This window comes from Homo sapiens, chromosome 10, assembly GCF_000001405.40.
Source record: "Homo sapiens chromosome 10, GRCh38.p14 Primary Assembly".
Taxonomy (NCBI): domain Eukaryota; kingdom Metazoa; phylum Chordata; class Mammalia; order Primates; family Hominidae; genus Homo; species Homo sapiens.
The window spans coordinates 133,007,581-133,024,493 of NC_000010.11; the positions used below are offsets into that span (position 1 = coordinate 133,007,581).

The 16,913-nt window shown below is 59.9% G+C and overlaps 1 non-coding gene across 2 annotated transcripts, besides 5 other annotated features; it reads left to right on the top strand.

Moving 5' to 3' along the window:
- Nucleotides 331-1,158: an enhancer, noted in NCBI's record as "H3K27ac-H3K4me1 hESC enhancer chr10:134821415-134822242 (GRCh37/hg19 assembly coordinates)". NCBI's record gives its function as "activates a minimal SCP1, AML or CMV promoter by ChIP-STARR-seq in primed H9 embryonic stem cells {active_cell/tissue: H9 hESC(primed)}" and the evidence as "EXISTENCE:reporter gene assay evidence [ECO:0000049][PMID:30033119]".
- Nucleotides 2,162-8,187, top strand: LOC112268067 (uncharacterized). Of its 2 annotated transcripts, XR_007062350.1 has the most exons (3): nucleotides 2,162-6,556; nucleotides 6,744-7,034; nucleotides 7,653-8,187. It is a non-coding gene; the product is annotated as an uncharacterized LOC112268067 (transcript). The 2 variants fall into 2 exon arrangements; XR_002957107.2 differs by having other exon boundaries at nucleotides 5,291-7,034.
- Nucleotides 4,942-5,492: an enhancer, noted in NCBI's record as "H3K27ac-H3K4me1 hESC enhancer chr10:134826026-134826576 (GRCh37/hg19 assembly coordinates)". NCBI's record gives its function as "activates a minimal SCP1, AML or CMV promoter by ChIP-STARR-seq in naive and primed H9 embryonic stem cells {active_cell/tissue: H9 hESC(naive and primed)}" and the evidence as "EXISTENCE:reporter gene assay evidence [ECO:0000049][PMID:30033119]".
- Nucleotides 4,942-6,591: a biological region, named in NCBI's record as "CDK7 strongly-dependent group 2 enhancer GRCh37_chr10:134826346-134827545".
- Nucleotides 5,262-6,461: an enhancer, noted in NCBI's record as "CDK7 strongly-dependent group 2 enhancer chr10:134826346-134827545 (GRCh37/hg19 assembly coordinates)". NCBI's record gives its function as "activates an origin of replication core promoter dependent on BRD2, BRD4, P300/CBP, MED14 and CDK7 cofactors, with strong dependence on CDK7, by STARR-seq in HCT116 cells {active_cell/tissue: HCT116}" and the evidence as "EXISTENCE:reporter gene assay evidence [ECO:0000049][PMID:35650434]".
- Nucleotides 6,042-6,591: an enhancer, noted in NCBI's record as "H3K27ac-H3K4me1 hESC enhancer chr10:134827126-134827675 (GRCh37/hg19 assembly coordinates)". NCBI's record gives its function as "activates a minimal SCP1, AML or CMV promoter by ChIP-STARR-seq in primed H9 embryonic stem cells {active_cell/tissue: H9 hESC(primed)}" and the evidence as "EXISTENCE:reporter gene assay evidence [ECO:0000049][PMID:30033119]".
- Nucleotides 8,188-16,913: the final 8,726 nt, after the last annotated feature.

The following is a 16,913-nucleotide window of genomic DNA, read 5'->3' on the forward strand; positions in this document are numbered from 1 at the left end:
AGAGCCAGGGTGTGGGACAAGTGAGTCGGCACAGAGGCCTGGACCCAGATCGGCCGGGCGGCAGCCTGGAGATGCCCACCAGGCCCAGGTGACGTCAGAGTCAGTCTGGGAACAAGGCAGAGGGCCGGGCACCTTCCCAAACACAGCCCCACCCCCGCGGCCTCTATTGGGCAGAGGCAGGAAGTCCGGGGGTTCTGGGCAAACCTGACCCAGAGGCCAAGGGTCCCAGGAAAGGGAGCCCCACAGCCTAGGCACAGCTGGCACCTCCCTGGAAAGAGGGGCTGGAAACAGAGGGGCAGATTGTCAGTAAGCTGAAGAATTGTCCGTAATCACGGGACGGCCTTAGTTATGTTTCCCACACTTAGGACTTGAGAGAGACGGCAACTGAATGCTTGTCATCAAAAGAAAAAAGTGGAAAAAAACAACCCAGTAGGCTTAAAATGAAGGAAGAGCATTCACATTTACAACACTGATGAACGTAGCTTCATCTTTCTCTCCTGAAAGTTTCCCAGCCTCCTAAGTGCTCTGTCCTTGCCTAGAATGTTTTCCTTTAATCTACATATTGGGTTAGACCGGCCTCCCCTTTCTCTCACATCCCAGGAGTGGTGGATGGGTAAGACCCTGCCTCGGGACCATGTTTGGAGGGTCCCGCCAGCCGTGCTCCGAGCGTCAGGGCAGCTGTGGTGTGCGAGGTGTTTGGACGAGACCAGGAGGACCGGCACTGGGCCACCATCTGGGAGCGTCTCTCTCACACCTCCCTCGGTGACGGGGAGGGAAGGAGGGCCGGGCCCCCAGGAGCGTCTCTCTCACACCTCCCTCGGTGATGCGGAGGGAAAGAGGGCCGGGCCCCCCGGGCCTGTGAGAGAGGGTCTCAGAGGAGCCTACTGCTGCAGAGCCCGATCTGGTGAGGGGGTGGCGGCTCACATCACAGAGCCACAGGCTGAGTGTCAGGCCGGGCCCCGCAATTCTGGAAGATCCAGTGCGAAAGTGCTTGCTCTGCTCCAAACCCGGGTCCTGGTCTGGACACAGCAGCCTGAGCCCTGGGAAGAGATTCAGCAGCTGCCCGGGAGCTGGGCGGGGAAGGGCTACTCACCCGGACATTGCCCAGAGTGTACTCGAGGGGCCCCTAGCTCACTGCACGGCAGCTGGGAACATCTCCTGACCCACAGGGCCAGGCTGAGCCACAGGGTGGACAAAGCATCCCCCTGCACTCTCCTGGACTCCAGGCACAGATTCTCTCAGACTGACTCTGCAATTCCAACCGAGGTCACACTCCCAAGCCCAGCACAACAGCCTCGCTGGAGTCCATCTCACGCCAGCACAAACGGCCTGCCTGGACGCAAACATCAGGTATGGGCTGCACCAGGCCCCTGCAGATGGGTACGACCCTCACGCCACTGCGAGCCGCAGCCTCAGCGCACTTTGGGAAGAAGCAGAGAAGCATGATAATGTCTGGGGCTCAATGTGGCTGTGATTACCATGAACAGAATAAGCCTGAAGGAGAACGGCTCTTTCCCCAACTTCAGAGTCAGGAGAGCATGTCTGTGAATGCCCACTCCCGCCTTGGAAGGAGGTTTAACCTGAGAAAAATGGTCCTGGGGGCTGTGGTTTCTGAGACAGCAGCCGTGGGGAGGGCCAGGAGAGGCCCATGCTGACACAGAGGCAGCACCATCTTTCCTAGGCAGGAAGGGGCCAGATTCTTCTCCAGAGAAACTGACGTGTCAGGAGAAAACCCTTTGGCCCTGTCCCTGCAGAGGTCATGAGACAGCCAGGCCCCACCCTCTCTCAGGGCGCCAGCCAGCCTTCCAGTTACCCACACTTGAATGTGAGTGACGCCCTCAGGCCACCAAGGGCGTGACTCTCCCACACGGGAGTGGCCCAGAACCAGACCCAGGGCAGGAAGTAGAAAACTTTAAAATATTTTGGTCTGCACAGGGCTCCTGTCCCCGGCACCTGGGGCTCCTCCCCGGCCCCTCTGCTCCAGGTCAGCAGAGGAGGAAAGAGAAGGAGGTGGGGTGCTAGGAGGGCTCCTGGGGGCTGGACCTGAGATAATGGACCTCGGGAAGTCAGGTTCCGTTGGCCAGACACGCCCATGCAGCCTCCCCAATGCAGGGAAGGCCGGGAAGTCCCTGCTCAGCGGCTGCCACCGCCCGAGCCCCGCACACACTCCCTCCTGAGAGCAGCCCGAGAGTCCTGTCTTCAGGAGGCAATACTTAGCACTCCTCATAGCACTGGGTGCGGCACGGGGCAGGGCCTGGGGCAGGCGGTGCGTGGTGACACCTCTGGGCTGACGGCCTGTTCTGTGGATACAAACAGCGTGGAAGAGAAAGTGGCTTCAAATCAACACAACTCGGCTTCAAAAAGCAAATCCCTGGGATGCCCTCCTGCCTTCAGCCTGAAAACGGCCAGCGCGATGCTGCCGCTTCTGTGGTCCGTGCGGCCTGCCTTCTCCAGCGGGGTCAGGCGGGGCGGTCCTTGCCCCTGCAGCCCACCCCAGCTCCGGCAGTGCTGGGAACGCCAGCGGCTCCTCCGCCTTAGGAACCAGAGGTGGCTGCCTTTGTCCCTCATCATGCAGCCCAGAGCCAGGAGGTCTGTGTCCAGGGATGTTCCCTGTGTCCAGTTCAGGGCCAGGGGGTCTGTGCGGAGATGTTCCCTGTGTCCAGTTCAGAGCCGGGGGTTTGTGTCTGGAGATGTTCCCTGTGTCCAGTTCGGGGCCAGGGGGTCTGTGTGCGGAGATGTTCCCTGTGTCCAGTTCAGGGCCGGGGGGTGTGTGCGGAGATGTTCCCTGTGTCCAGTTTGGAGCCGGGGGTCTGTGTCCGGAGATGTTCCCTGTGTCCAGTTCAGAGCCGGGGGTCTGTGTCCAGGGACACTCCCCTCTGTCCAGTGTGAGGCGCGTGGGCCGGCTGGAGGTCCCTCCCCGAAGGTCTGTCTCACAGCTGTGGGTGCCGCAGCACTGGGACCAGGCTGCACCCACCGGTCTGGGCCTCAGGTTCTGAGGGCTGCTGCTGGTGCCTGGGCCAGGGAAAGGCACGGTGGGAGCTGGTCTCCGGCTCAGAGATGCCCAGCTGCTGGCTCAGGCTGGGCCGCAGGAGCCTGTTGTTCCTGCATCCGCCTGTGGTGTTAGCGTGTGTGATGTGTTAGCATGTGTGATGTGTGTTAGTGGGTGTGGTGTGTGTTGGTGGGTGTGGTGTGTGTTGGTGTGGTGTGTTAGTATGTGTGATGTGTTTTGGCATGTGTGATGTGTTAGTGTGTGATGTGTTAATGTGTTACCTGTTAGCATGTGTGATGTGTGTTTGTGTGATGTGTGTTAGCGTGTGTGATGTGTGCTTGTGTGATGTGTTTTCGTGTGTGTGATTGTTAGTGTGTGTGATGTGTGCTTGTGTGATGTGTTTTAGCACGTGTGATGTGTGTTAGTGTGTGATGTGTGTGTTAGTGTGTGATGTGTGTTAGCGTGTGTGATGTGTGCTTGTGTGATGTGTTAGTGTGTGTGATGTGTGCTTGTGATGTGTTTTAGCACGTGTGATGTGTGTTAGTGTGTGATGTGTGTGTTAGTGTGTGATGTGTGTTAGCGTGTGTGATGTGTGCTTGTGTGATGTGTTTTCGTGTGTGTGATGTTAGTGTGTGTGATGTGTGCTTGTGTGATGTGTTTTAGCACGTGTGATGTGTGTTAGTGTGTGATGTGTGTTAGCGTGTGTGATGTGTGCTTGTGTGATGTGTTTTCGTGTGTGTGATGTGTGTTTGTGTGATGTGTTAGCGTGTGTGATGTGTGCTTGTGTGATGTGTTTTTGTGTGTGTGATGTGTTAGTGTGTGTGATGTGTGTTTGTGTGATGTGTGTTAGCGTGTGTGATGTGTGCTTGTGTGATGTGTTTTTGTGTGTGTGATGTGTTAGTGTGTGTGATGTGTGCTTGTGTGACGTGTTTTAGCACGTGTGATGTGTGTTAGTGTGTGATGTGTGTTAGTGTGTGATGTGTGTTAGCGTGTGTGATGTGTGCTTGTGTGATGTGTTTTTGTGTGTGTGATGTGTTAGTGTGTGTGATGTGTGCTTGTGTGATGTGTTTTCGTGTGTGTGATGTGTTAGTGTGTGTGATGTGTGCTTGTGTGATGTGTTTTAGCACGTGTGATGTGTGTTAGTGTGTGATGTGTGTTAGTGTGTGATGTGTGTTAGCGTGCGTGATGTGTGCTTGTGTGATGTGTTTTCGTGTGTGATGTGTGTTAGTGTGCAATGTGTTAGCGTGCGTGATGTCTCACTGCTGTTCAAGTGGACATTAGCATTGTCAGGTGGCCTCTGCAGTGTGGGGGTTCCTCTGGTCTGAGCTTGGCAGCCCCTTACCTCAGAGTCCAGGCCTCCTGTGTGTCCTCCAGAGATAGTTCTCATGGCAGCACTGGCTGCCCGAGCCCCCAGAGATGCACTGGGCCCAGCCGCCATCTTCACAAATGGTGAACCTCTCCCTTCAAACCACACTGTAGGCACAGGCAGCTGCTGCAAGGCTGAGTCTCTGTGGAATCCCTTCCTCTCCGAAGGGGCCTGTGAACCGTGACCGAGGGCAGTGAGGAGGGATCTGGAGAATCTCAGGGCGCGAGGACACTGGCGGGGCAAGTACGGGGGCAAACCTGCAGGGGCAGCTGCCAGGAGCCAAAATCAGGGTCAACCTTTCCGTGAGGTGCTTTTGTGCAAACTGATGTTTAGCTCCTGACTTAAGTAAAAAACATCCTTACGTCTTAGGTACATTTGTAAAACCTGGGTTTTATATGTGATGGAAATAATGTACCATCAGTATTGCAGCGTTGCTAAAACAGGGCAAGGTTTTCTATTATGGGGTGACCCTGGGGTCTTCTATTATCAGGGTGACCCTGGGTCTTCTATTATCGGGGTGACCCTGGGGTTTTCTATTATCGGGGTGACCCTGGGGTTTTCTATTATGGGGTGGCCCTGGGGTCTTCTATTATGGGGTGGCCCTGGGGTTTTCTATTATCGAGGTGACCCTGGCTCCCGTGGCAAATGCTGTCCCCAGTAGCACGTGGGGCTCTTCAGCTTATCTGAGTGCCGCGTCTCCATGGGCGGCAATTTCTCGGAGGCCTGGCACGGCGGCACCGGAAGCGGGTACTGGTGCCCTAAGGAGCGGGAGGGTCAACGTCCGGGGCCTGCCCTGCACTCGCCGAGGTGATGGGTTGGTTAGAGGAGCCACAGTTCCTCTCCGTGCACTCACGTGAATTACGCGCGGTGACTCAGCAGCCCCATGACGTCATGGCTCTGAGCGAGCGGCCGAGCGTCGGTGCCCCAGTCCAGCCCTTGCTGTTCCTTCACACTCACGTTTCCAAGCTGAAAACGCGAGGGGCTCAAAACTGGAAAGGAAAACAGCGTGGTCGGCCTCTCGTTCCTGCGACGCGTTCTGTGGGTGATGGAAAGATGGGGGAGGAGGAGGGACCACCCAGGGTGCCCCCCGCCGACCGTTACCCGCCCTTTGCCCCAAGGCTGTCTTTGAGGTCGGTCTTTCTGGGGCTGTGGCCCAAATGAAGTCAAGAGACAGCATCGGGCGTTGACTGTCCCCTCGTGTGGGCCGGGCACCGACCCTGCCTGGGGTTGCTGGGCACCAGCGCTCGTCACAATAAAAAACCCACAGTGAAGATGGGTCAGGGGTTTGCACTGCGCCAGGTCTGCTCATCCCCAAAGCCACGGTTTTCCCATCGCAGGTGGTCTGGAAGCACCAGACGGCGCGCGTGTGGGGTGGCCAGCGACGGGCTGCCACGGAGGTGTGCGACCTGCAGGCCACAGACATTCCCAGAGAGCCCCTGCGTGCAAAACATGGACACACAGATGTTTGTGAAGCTCTGGGATGGCGTTTAGCAGGAGGAATAACGGGGTCTTCAGAGAATCAACAAAATAAATGTAGCACCTGTTGGGTTATTGAAACCAGTTGTTATTAGGAAGGGATCTGGGGCAATTGATGAAGAAACAGGAAGACGACAAAACTCAAGGTCCAAGAATGAGGAAGCCGAGGAAGAATGAGGAAGCCGAGGAAGAATGAGGAAGCCGAGGAAGAATGAGGAAGCCGAGGAAGAATGAGGAAGCCGAGGAAGAAAGCAGCCGCCGTGTGGAGCCGCCCAGAGACTGGCACTCACCTGTGTCACTGTGCGGGGAGGGCAGGGTCTCGCCAGCAGCCGGTGGCACATGCGGGCGGCACGGGGGCTGCGTGGTGGCCTCTGTGATGTCACCTGGCAGAGGTGCCTGAGCTGGGCCCGGCGTGGAGGGCATAGGCCTCACTCTCTGACTGCCTGACAGTCCCTACAGTGAGCGGGACCCCCTTATTAAGGCTGTGGGGCAGAGTGGGGTGACAGGTGTTGAGGGGTGGGGCCCAGCCCCGGGCACCCGCATGTTCCTCTCTGCCCCTGGGAGAAGTGTTGAGAGACGGAGCTCGGGATCAGCTGGCATATCCACCATGTTCCAGGGTCGACCAGGGAGCACAGAGCCCTGAACATCCCTTCAACAGCGCGCCACACGCTCCTGGCACAAACTCCAGACCACGGCACAGCACCCAGATGGCTGCAGCCACGCAGGTGACACAGGGTCCAGAAACCTTGACAAAAAAGATACTTCGGGGCATTGGGATGTGTGAGGCTCAGGTGGGAGGAGAAGGCTCCAGCCCTCACCACGCTTGGCCCTGCCTCCAGCAAGGACCCCCACCCCAGGGCTCCAGGCCTCGGGCTGCTGCCTGTCTGATGTGAGCGTCCTCACCCTGTCCAGAAACCCACAACTGCCAGGACCGTGGGGTGACAGCCACGGTGGGCTCTGCAGGCCCCTCTGGTCTAAGACACCAGGAGGCCACATCCAGCAACCAAGGCCACCCGGCAGGACACGTCAGGATGGAGGTGCAGTGAAGACTGCGGTGGACGCCTCCAGAGGTTCCCACTTGGCTTCCAGTGGAGCCTCTGCCAAACCCGGCCTGTGCAAGGGCAGAGACAAGGCCCAGCAGGGCTCGAGCAGGCCCAAACGCACGACGCAGCTGCTGTGCCTGGGTCTGAGCTGCACCCACAGGTGACGTGAGGGGCGCCTAGGAGGCGGGGGAGGCACGGGGCCGGGAAGGCTCGGGGGTCCCAGAGCTCTCAGTATGCACCATGCCCGGGCAGCCTGGTTAGTCAGGGTCACTGTGGCGGGGAAGTCGGGAGCCAAGAGGCAGCTCAGCTGCAGGTGGCTCAAGACAGCAAGGGCTGCAGGGGGACCAGGAGTTTCAGGCAGCCAATGGTGCTGGCGGCAGGGCCGGGATGGAGCAGGGCGGGTCCCCGAGGCCTGCTGGTTGGGTCAGCCTTCCGAGGCCACTGCTGGGCATGAGACAGAAGAGATGGCATGGCTGATGTGATGGATGGGGGCCCGACACTCTAGCCCCAGCCCCTCCCTGGCTTCTGGGAGGCCCGGGCTGCCTCTGGGCAGGAAGAGATGCTGCTCCCTGCAGGCCAGGCCGGCTCCGGTGGAAGGAAGTCCTGGGCGTCCGCTGCAGGCCAAGGCCTCTCCTGTGCACCTGCCCTCACTGCGGCTGGCAGGGACGGACGTGTCCGGAGGCCTCTCCTGTGCACCTGCCCTCACTGCGGCTGGCAGGGACGGACATGTCCGGGCCGCAGGGTGAATCCTCCACGCTTTTCCTTGTCTCTGTTGCAGTTTTCCTGGCGTCTTGTCCTCTGGATGGGCCTCTGGATGAACATAAACTCCAGGGAAGCTGCATAGAATATGCAGCTCTTCTTTAACGCTCCCTAGAGGAAGAAAGCCCCTCAGCCGGAAGTATTGTTGACGTCGCCGCCACTACTAATGAAATATTTACTGAAAAGCCAAAGCGAAACATTTTTCTAGTTAATTAAAACAGTGCATCTTTCAAGCAAGCTCCCTCGAGGGGCCAGGCTCGGACGGACCCAGCGGGCAGGCAACCCGAGGTGCTCCTGAGTGGGGTCTCGACTGGGAAGGGGGCGCCCAGGACGCAGGTGGGGTTCCTGCCACACGACACTGAGGGGTGGGGGGACAGACGCTGCAGAGACCCTGCGAAAGGCCCCTCCCGATGGGTAAACTCACACTTGGTACACGCTGGCAGGGGCATCTGGGCCTGCACTCTGGAATTGGTGGTGGTCCTGGGAAGGTTTTTTGGGCCAGGGACAAGAGTACTTGGGTTTGCTTTCTGGAAAAATGAAAAAAGAGAAGTTTCTGTGTTCTCTCAGCTGTGTTAAACGCTGGCAGAAGTTGCCTCTCGGACCCTCCGCAGGGCTATGACAGGCTGGAGAAGTGGGGGCTCGGGAGGGAGCTCAAACAGCCTGCAGACTCCGCCGCAGAGTCCGCACCCCTGGAAGGAGGCGTCGGGGAAGGCACTGCACCCACGCATGGCTTCGAGGGCAGGAGGCAGGTTGCACAGCGGGGGTCACAGGCTCCTCTGTCCCAGGTGGGACTGGGCGATCCCAGACACGTGTGCTGTGGCCTCTGGGCCTCATGCGGAGAGCAGATGCCAGGGCCTGCAACTCTGACCTCTGAGCACACAGGCCGGCCTCAGGGAAGGGTTGTTCTGGCTGTGGGAACCTGAACTCGAAATGGCCTCCGTTCGCTGCAGACACTGCCCGCCTGCACCGGGGACTCAGCCCAGGCAGCTCTGCACACACCTCAGCACCACCCACCCTCAGGCCTCAGCCGCGCTACCCAGCAGGCGCTTTTGCCCAGAACGCCTGCTCAGAACACCGTGAGCCACTGCCCGGCGCTGAGCCGGGGCCTCCGGAACGTGAACCAAGCGGCTGCAGCCCAGGCCCAGAGCCACCGGCATCGCCCCATGGCAGCTGCAGGACCTGGAGTGGGCAGGGTCCAGGCCAGGGAGCGGGGTAGCCCTCACCCAGGAACTCTGCCCCGGGGGGTCTCTTCCTAAAAGTGCTGGAGTTGATGGATCTGGTTAGAGCACCAGAGCCCAGCCCATGGCTCTCCAGGAGTCTGGGGCCCTCAGTGAGGTGTGTCGATGGGGACTAGGAACTGGGGAGAGTCAGGTGGAAGGGAATGTTCCAGAATGCCTATTTGAGAGACTCAGAACAAACGTGTTTCTTGTCCTTTGTGCCGTGGCCGGGCATCGTGGAGAAGCTGCATCCAGGGCGGGCCCAGCCAGGCAGCGCCTGCCTCCCCACTGCCAGCCCCTGAGATGGTCTCATCCGCTGGGCGAGCAGGCCAGGGCTGCCCGTCTCCACCTTTGTGCTGGACCATTTACAATCAAAGCGCAGCATCGAGATACCCAGGAAAGAGCCAGGAACAGGCCAGGAAGCTGCTGCCCCACCACTGACCCCACCGCTCTCCTTCCCTCCTTCCTTCCCGCTGGGCTGGGCACAGGTGGAGCTCACCGTCGTCCCCCTTCATCCCTTGGCCCCTCCAAGGCTCAAGGACTGGAGGCCGACTGGGCAGCAGACATGTCACCATCACCATGCTCCCCGTCACCACGCTCCCTGTCGCCATGGTCACTGTCACCATGCTCCCTGTCGCCATGCTCCCCCTCGCCACGCTCCCTCTCGCCACGCTCCCCGTCGCCACGGTCCCCGTCGCCACGCTCCCCGTCGCCACGGTCCCCGTCGCCACGCTCCCCGTCGCCACGGTCCCCGTCGCCACGCTCCCCGTCGCCACGCTCCCCGTCGCCACGCTCCCCATCGCCACAGTCCCTGTCGCCACGCTCCCTGCGGGTCTCCCCATCCCCCGTGCAGCTGAGGGGGCCGCATGCGGTTCTCTGAGTCTTTGGAATGTGCAGGCACCTGTGAGGCAGCGCCACCTTGGAAAAATTTGCACGGTTCTGGCCGGGGCTGCCAGCCTCCAAGGACACCTTGAGCCTGGCAAGGAGGGGTCCAACCATTTCTCATGTATGGCCACACACCACTTCCGTTCACAGAGACCCCAGCCACTCCGGGCGCCAGGTGCTGACGTGCCACGTGGGCATCTAGTAGACACGGATGCCGCATGGGGGTCTGGTAGACACGGATGCCGCATGGCGTCTGGTAGACACGGATGCCGCATGGCGTCTGGTAGACACGGATGCCGCATGGCGTCTGGTAGACACGGATGCCGCATGGCGTCTGGTAGACACGGATGCCGCATGGCGTCTGGTAGACACGGATGCCACATGGGCATCTGGTAGACACGGATGCCACATGGGCATCTGGTAGACACGGATGCCATATGGGGGTCTAGTAGACACGGATGCCACATGGCATCTGGTAGACACGGATGCCGCATGGGGGTCTGGTAGACACGGATGCCGCATGGGCGTCTGGTAGACACGGATGCCACATGGGCGTCTGGTAGACACGGATGCCACATGGGCGTCTGGTAGACACGGATGCCATATGGGGGTCTAATGGACACAGATGCCACATGGGCGTCTGGTAGACACGGATGCCACATGGGCGTCTGGTAGACACGGATGCCACATGGGCGTCTGGTAGACACGGATGCCGCATGGGCGTCTGGTAGACACGGATGCCGCATGGGCGTCTGGTAGACACGGATGCCGCATGGGCGTCTGGTAGACACGGATGCCGCATGGGCGTCTGGTAGACACGGATGCCGCATGGGCGTCTGGTAGACACGGATGCCATATGGGGGTCTAATGGACACAGATGCCATATGGGTGTCTGGTAGACACGGATGCCACATGGGCGTCTGGTAGACACGGATGCCATATGGGCGTCTGGTAGACACGGATGCCACATACGGCGTCTGGTAGACACGGATGCCACATGGGCGTCTGGTAGACACGGATGCCACATGGGCGTCTGGTAGACACGGATGCCACATGGGCGTCTGGTAGACACGGATGCCATATGGGGGTCTAATGGACACAGATGCCATATGGGTGTCTGGTAGACACGGATGCCACATGGGCGTCTGGTAGACACGGATGCCATATGGGCGTCTGGTAGACACGGATGCCACATGGGCGTCTGGTAGACACGGATGCCACATACGGGTCTAGTAGGACAGCGGGACCCGCAGGGAGCGTGGTGACAGAGACCGTGGTGACCGGGACCGTGTGCAGGGACCTGCCCTCCTGCTGCTGCATAAACGTTCGGGGGTTGGGGGGCTCCAGAACGGGGGCACCAGGTGCTCAGGAAGACCCGGCGGAGCCTTCGCCTCCCAGGCCCAGGGGCTGTCCTCTTTGTCAGCCGGGGGTCATCACAGCCAGGGGGCTCTCCCCCGCCAGAGCCAGAGTCCAGAACGTGCTCCAGAAGCCGCGACATGTCTGGTGCCCCGGGACTGTCTCTGGTGTCCGCAGCTCTCGTTTGGGGAGAAAAGGATTTCTCTGCTGAATGCTCTTCCCCCACATTAAAATCCAGGCTGTTGATCTGATTCTTAGCACCATGATTTTATACACTGTGTTTTCTTAAAAGAGAAAAAAGGGATTTTTGTATCCTGAAAAAAAGCATCATCTTGCTTTTGTAAAATCTATAAAAGAGCCTGTGATTTCTTTTTTGTTCCGCATGGTTTATTGAGCTATGAGGCTGGAGTTTCTTTCTGACAGTTTAATATCGAGTGACAGCCGAGGCTGCCTCTGAGAGATGCTCTTTCTGAACAAATGAAAAAATACACTTTTCCAGATTTAGATAAAGGTGAAGGTTGTTTGGGGTTTGAAATGTTTTCCTTTTCATGCAGCATAAACATGCATCAGGCACACATCCCTGAGACTCTTTCCGGCACCTTCCGCGCTGGGCGTCTGCTGCCTTCGGAGCTGGTTTGCAGGCGGGGCCCTTGGGATGTGGGTACCTGCCTCGCACTCTGTGCAGCTGGTGTCCTGGCTCCTGGAGTGGCGGTGGCATCCTCGTGGGGATGGGGGTGGCTGGCGAGTGGCCGTCGGATGCACCCCTGCCTCACACAGCCACAGGCTGGAGGGAAGGACCCGAGCGGGACATGGCCTAGGTGGAGCTGGGGCCTCTCCTGTGGTGCGTTGGGCGGGGGGTGGGGAGGCTCCACGCACCTCCCTAAGGGCAGCTGTGACATTTGTGTCCAGGATAAAGGCAAAGTCCACCATGGCGAAGACGCTGCCCTCCCAGTAGCAGGCAACATAGGCCAGAAACAGGGGTCCCTCATCCTCAGAAGGGCTGGGGTTGCCCCCTTCCTGGGCCAGCCAGTGGGGGACCCTGTGCTCCAAGCCGCTAACAGCATGTGCGCTGCTGGAGATACCCGGGTTGAAGTTCATCCTCAGACACAGCTGCATGTTGGGAGCACCCGTCCCTTCGTGCCCACAGTGGCTGGAGACGCGGCTGTTCCAGAGGGCATCCAGTCTGAATTCATGTCCGCCCATGCCCGCCCCCAGCTACTTCCAGAGGCATTTGAAGGGAGGACCTGTGCCCTGCACAGCTGCTTCTCAAAGGGGTGCCAGCACCTGTCCATGCGTCACTAACCCAAGCTCCATGCCGGGCACAGGCTGGGCGTCAGAGCCACCGAAACACCAACCTCTGCCCCAAGTCACTGGGCGGGCGCCTGACATCGACATGCAGGCTGTACCCCCCGCGCAGGGCACAGGGATCCCAGGGCCTTCAGAAGAGCCAGAGTCTAGAACCGGTGAAAGTGAGGGCTCTGCCACAGCTGGTGGGGGTCTTGGGCAAAGCACAGAACCTTCCAGAACTCAGCATCTCCATCTGCAAGTGAGGAGCTGGGCTGGGACCCCTAACTGCACCCAACTCTGGTCTCTGAAATTCTAGGTCCAGTTGCCTGCTTTGGGAAGCGCTGTCTGTAGGCCGGGGCCACCGCCTTGCAGTCCAGTCCAACACCCAAGGACCCGAGTCGCTGGGGTGGGCGCCGGCTGTGGGGCAGAGACGCGGCGCTGCGTGTGAGAAGCTGCTGCCTCCCCAGCGGGATCCCCAGCTCTGCCCGCGCCCTCGTAGGTGATCACTCGACCAATCATGTCCTGAGCAGCACCAGATGGGCTGGGCCACTCACACAGCCACAGACCAGTGGCCCAGACCACCTGAGGTCCAGCCCGAGCCAGTGAAGTCAGGGCCTCCCCTCACCCCAAGATCCAGGGATCCCGCCTGCCCCCCATCCAGCCAGGCACCAGGGTGCGGATTCACGCCTCCTGACACAGCCCCTCAGACCGCGGGTGGAAGCCTCTCTGTCCTTTCCTGCCGTGTGGGCAGAAGTCATCACCGCCCTGACAGGACAAAGGAGAGAATGGGGCTCTCGGCGGGACTGCCACCCTTCTGCCCGAAGGGACAGCCACCTTCCCCCTCAAGAGACGGCGACCTTCTCCCCCAGGGGACGGCCACCTTCTCCCCCAAGGGACGGCCGCCTTCCCCCCCAGGGGACGGCCGCCTTCTCCCCCAGGGGACGGCCACCTTCTCCCCCAGGGGACGGCCGCCTTCTCCCCTGAAGGAGTCAGGAGAGGGGGTGGCTCCAGGAGTTAGAGGCAGCAGTGCTGTTGCCCGGGACACCTTCTCCAAGGGTGTGTGTGTTTGGGGAGAAGCTGGGAACGCTATTTGTACAGCAGTGCTTCTGTGGGAACGCGTGTTTCCAGTTCCAAAAAGCCAACCAAATGCTCAGAACCTCCCCCTGGGCTGGTTGGTGTGATTGAGACTGGTCGCTCCAGTCTGCACCTGTCTGCGGTGACGGCCGCCCTTCCCGTCAGCCCCTCCGCGGTCCCGGCCCCAGCCCTGGGTTGAGGGAGGGCTGGGGAGGAGCAGGGACAGACGGGCAGGCACCAGGACGCTGGCTGCTGCGTGAATGTCACCTGTGGTCACGGCCGACGCCCGGCGGGCCTGGGCATGGAGTCAGGACCGGAAAGCGAGGCCGGCAGCAGCACCAGCTCCTCAGCAAGGCCCCCGCTGCCGACTGGGCACGGGCACTCCAAGGGGACGCCTGGCACGTGCCGGGATCCACGCGCGGAACAATTTAGAGAGGCAGCAGCGTGCGCAGCGGGTGAAGTGGCAGAGGACGAGAGACACTGTGGCTTAATGCCTGAATCCCACGGTTTCTTGGCACAAACAATTCCTAACAAGTGTAGGTGTTTATCCCAGTCACACTGCACACAGCTTCTCATTTTCACCATTAGGGAAAGGTCAAGTTCTCACACCGATAAGGCACAGGGAGGTTGCGGGAGACCTTGGGTCTCCGGGGATGGTTCCTCCAGCGTCGAGGTTGGCGGCCAACTCCGGGCCCCTTTCTGAGTGGCAGTGTCTTATCCTCTCAAGTCTGCGTCTCAGCCAGCGGGTTGAGCTGACTGGGGAATCCTCTTTCTACAGTCCCTCGACGGCATCCACCTGTGTCTGGCTCTCCTGGAGGTCGGCGCGCCTGGCTCGTGACATCGTCCCTCCTTGGAACCCCCCAACGCGGTTGGTCTAATCAAGTTTGGGTGTTCCAGACATTTTGGCAGACATCCGAGCTTACAAACTGTGATAACATATCCACATTAAACCCATAAACTACATTACACCCATAAACAGGAAGGACCCGGGGTCTACGCCACGTCAGACCTGCCCGCGCGTGATCGCAGGCCGAGAACAACCTTCTACTTCCGTTCCCTCCCCTCCAGTGTCTCAGGGCACCCACCAGCCCCAGCACGGTTCTCTCTGATGTGCGGCGCAGCAGCCTGAAGCATGCAGAGGCACGGGGCGGGCGCTGGTCCCACCCCCACGATGTCCTTCGGGGGCGGCTGAGCCCCGCCGTCACCCACGAGGAGCTCTAGGCGTTGGCGGAGCCTAAGGGAGGCAGGGCCGGCTCTGCATGGGGGCCGCGGAAAGAGGCCACCGCGCTTGTCTCCGCTGAGGGCCCAGGCGACTCGTCCTGCTCTCCGGAGTCGGCCCTCGGCCTGGCTACGCTCTCCCGCGGACCCCACCAGGGCAACGTCAGCTGGGTCCTCTCTGAGCTGACCCTCTTTAGAATACACGGGCAGCCTCCTGACATTGCAGGGCAAAGGCTGATAGCAGTCGGCCCTTTCTGACCTGGAAGTGGGACTGACCCGGCCCGCAGTCCCCCACCCTGTCGTCAGGAGCAGAGGTGCTCACACAGACACACGTCTGTGATGTGGCCGATCTGCCTCTGGAGCTCATGGAAAGCCGGGTGCCTGGAGCGGGTCTGAGGCTCCTGGCTCTGGGAGTCTGGATGGACTTTAAACTCTTCAGGACTGTGGTCCAAGCACCGCAGCCATGGGTGGCAGAGCTCACAGCGAAAACGGACTTAAACTGCTCTGCAGAATTAAGTTTGAATCATTACCTACAAACTCAGAAACGCAGCTGTCACTTGGGCAACTCTGGGTTTCTAGCAGCTAAAAATCATTTCCACCAAATGATCCGTCAGCCGCGGCGGCTCTGGGCCGGAGGAGGGCTGTTTCCTGCCTCCCTCCCGCCCCACTGGCGTCTAATCAGATTACCCAGCATCCTCGGGAAGCTAGCCTGCCCTCAGCCGTTGGGAAAACAATTTATTTGGAAAGAATTTGCTGAGGTCTTGTTACTGCTCAGGGGAGGTTCCCAGTAGCCCTTTGGCCTTGGGGCCTAGTGGAGATTTTGGCTTCAGGATTGTCTCAATATGGCTGAGCAGGTGTCTGGGCCTCGCTCCCTCTCCCTCGTACGTCTCTGGCTCAGGCACTTTTATCAGCACCTTTCAACTTTGTCCACCTCAAGCGCAGGAACAGAAGCTGTTGCCCGTGCCCTGTGGGGCTGGTCCAGGCCTCCCCAGGCACCGGCCAGCACCTGCGTTTCCATGAAAGGTCCCACCGACCACCCACACTCGCAACCCAAGCCTGGCCGGGCCGTCTGCAGCATTTCTCAGCCAAAATAGAAATCAGGTGACACCAACGTGACCACGGCAAGAGCGAGCTGGAGCGGAGCCTCGGGTAGCCATGACTAACAGACATGGTTCGCAAACCCACGCACACCTTCCAAAAACGCCAGGCTGGCCTCACATGACCAGGGGCCTCACCAAGTGCAGTGGGTCCCTGCGTGTCAGGGAGGCTGCCCAGAGCTGTGGCTGCTCCTGTCTTAGCCTCAACCTGTGCCCGGGGCCCTGTGGATGGATCCGCGTGGGGCGGTGGTGTTCCAAGTCCACGTGGGGCGGTGGTGTTCCAGGTCCACGTGGGGCGGTGGTGTTCCAGGTCCACGTGGGGCGGTGGTGTTCCAGGTCCACGTGGGGTGGTGGTGTTCCAAGTCCACGTGGGACGGCGGTGTTCCAGGCCACAGCGGAAGGAGGTGGGGCCACAGATGACTGTCCTGGGTCTCTGGCTGCTGAGCCTGCATGTGTGACCACTGAGAGGAGAGCTCCTGCTCCTTCCAGCCCCGGGGTCTTCGAGCTCCTGCTCCTTCCAGCCCCAGGGTCTTCAAGCTCCTGCTCCTTCCAGCCCCGGGGTCTTCAAGCTCCTGCTCCTTCCAGCCCCGGGGTCTTCAAGCTCCTGCTCCTTCCAGCCCCGGGGTCTTCAAGCTCCTGCTCCTTCCAGCCCCGGGGTCTTCTAGCTCCTGCTCCTTCCAGCCCCGGGGTCTTCGAGCTCCTGCTCCTTCCAGCCCCGGGGTCTTCGAGCTCCTGCTCCTTCCAGCCCCAGGGTCTTTGAGCTCCTGCTCCTTCCAGTCCCGGGGTCTTCAAGCTCCTGCTCCTTCCAGCCCCGGGGTCTTCGCTCTCATTGCCAGGATGAAAGTGTGAAAGACGTGACTGGGGTGGGCACCGTTGTCTTTCCTACTCACAGAAAGGTGGCTCCTCCTGAAGATGCTTGGGCTGACCTGAGCGTACTCCAAACAGGGGCTGAGACGTGAGGACTGGCGATAAAACGCCCCTGGCTCACAACAACCTCATCTTGCCAGAAACATGCGTTCTCCTCTAGACAGCCAAAACCCAAAGTTTCGCTTTAAACATTTTTCCAAGCAGAGGTTTTCTGGGGTATGAAACCTCTAGGGGCTGTTTGGTGGTCTCTGGGCTTTGCCGAGGGCCGGGGTGGCACCA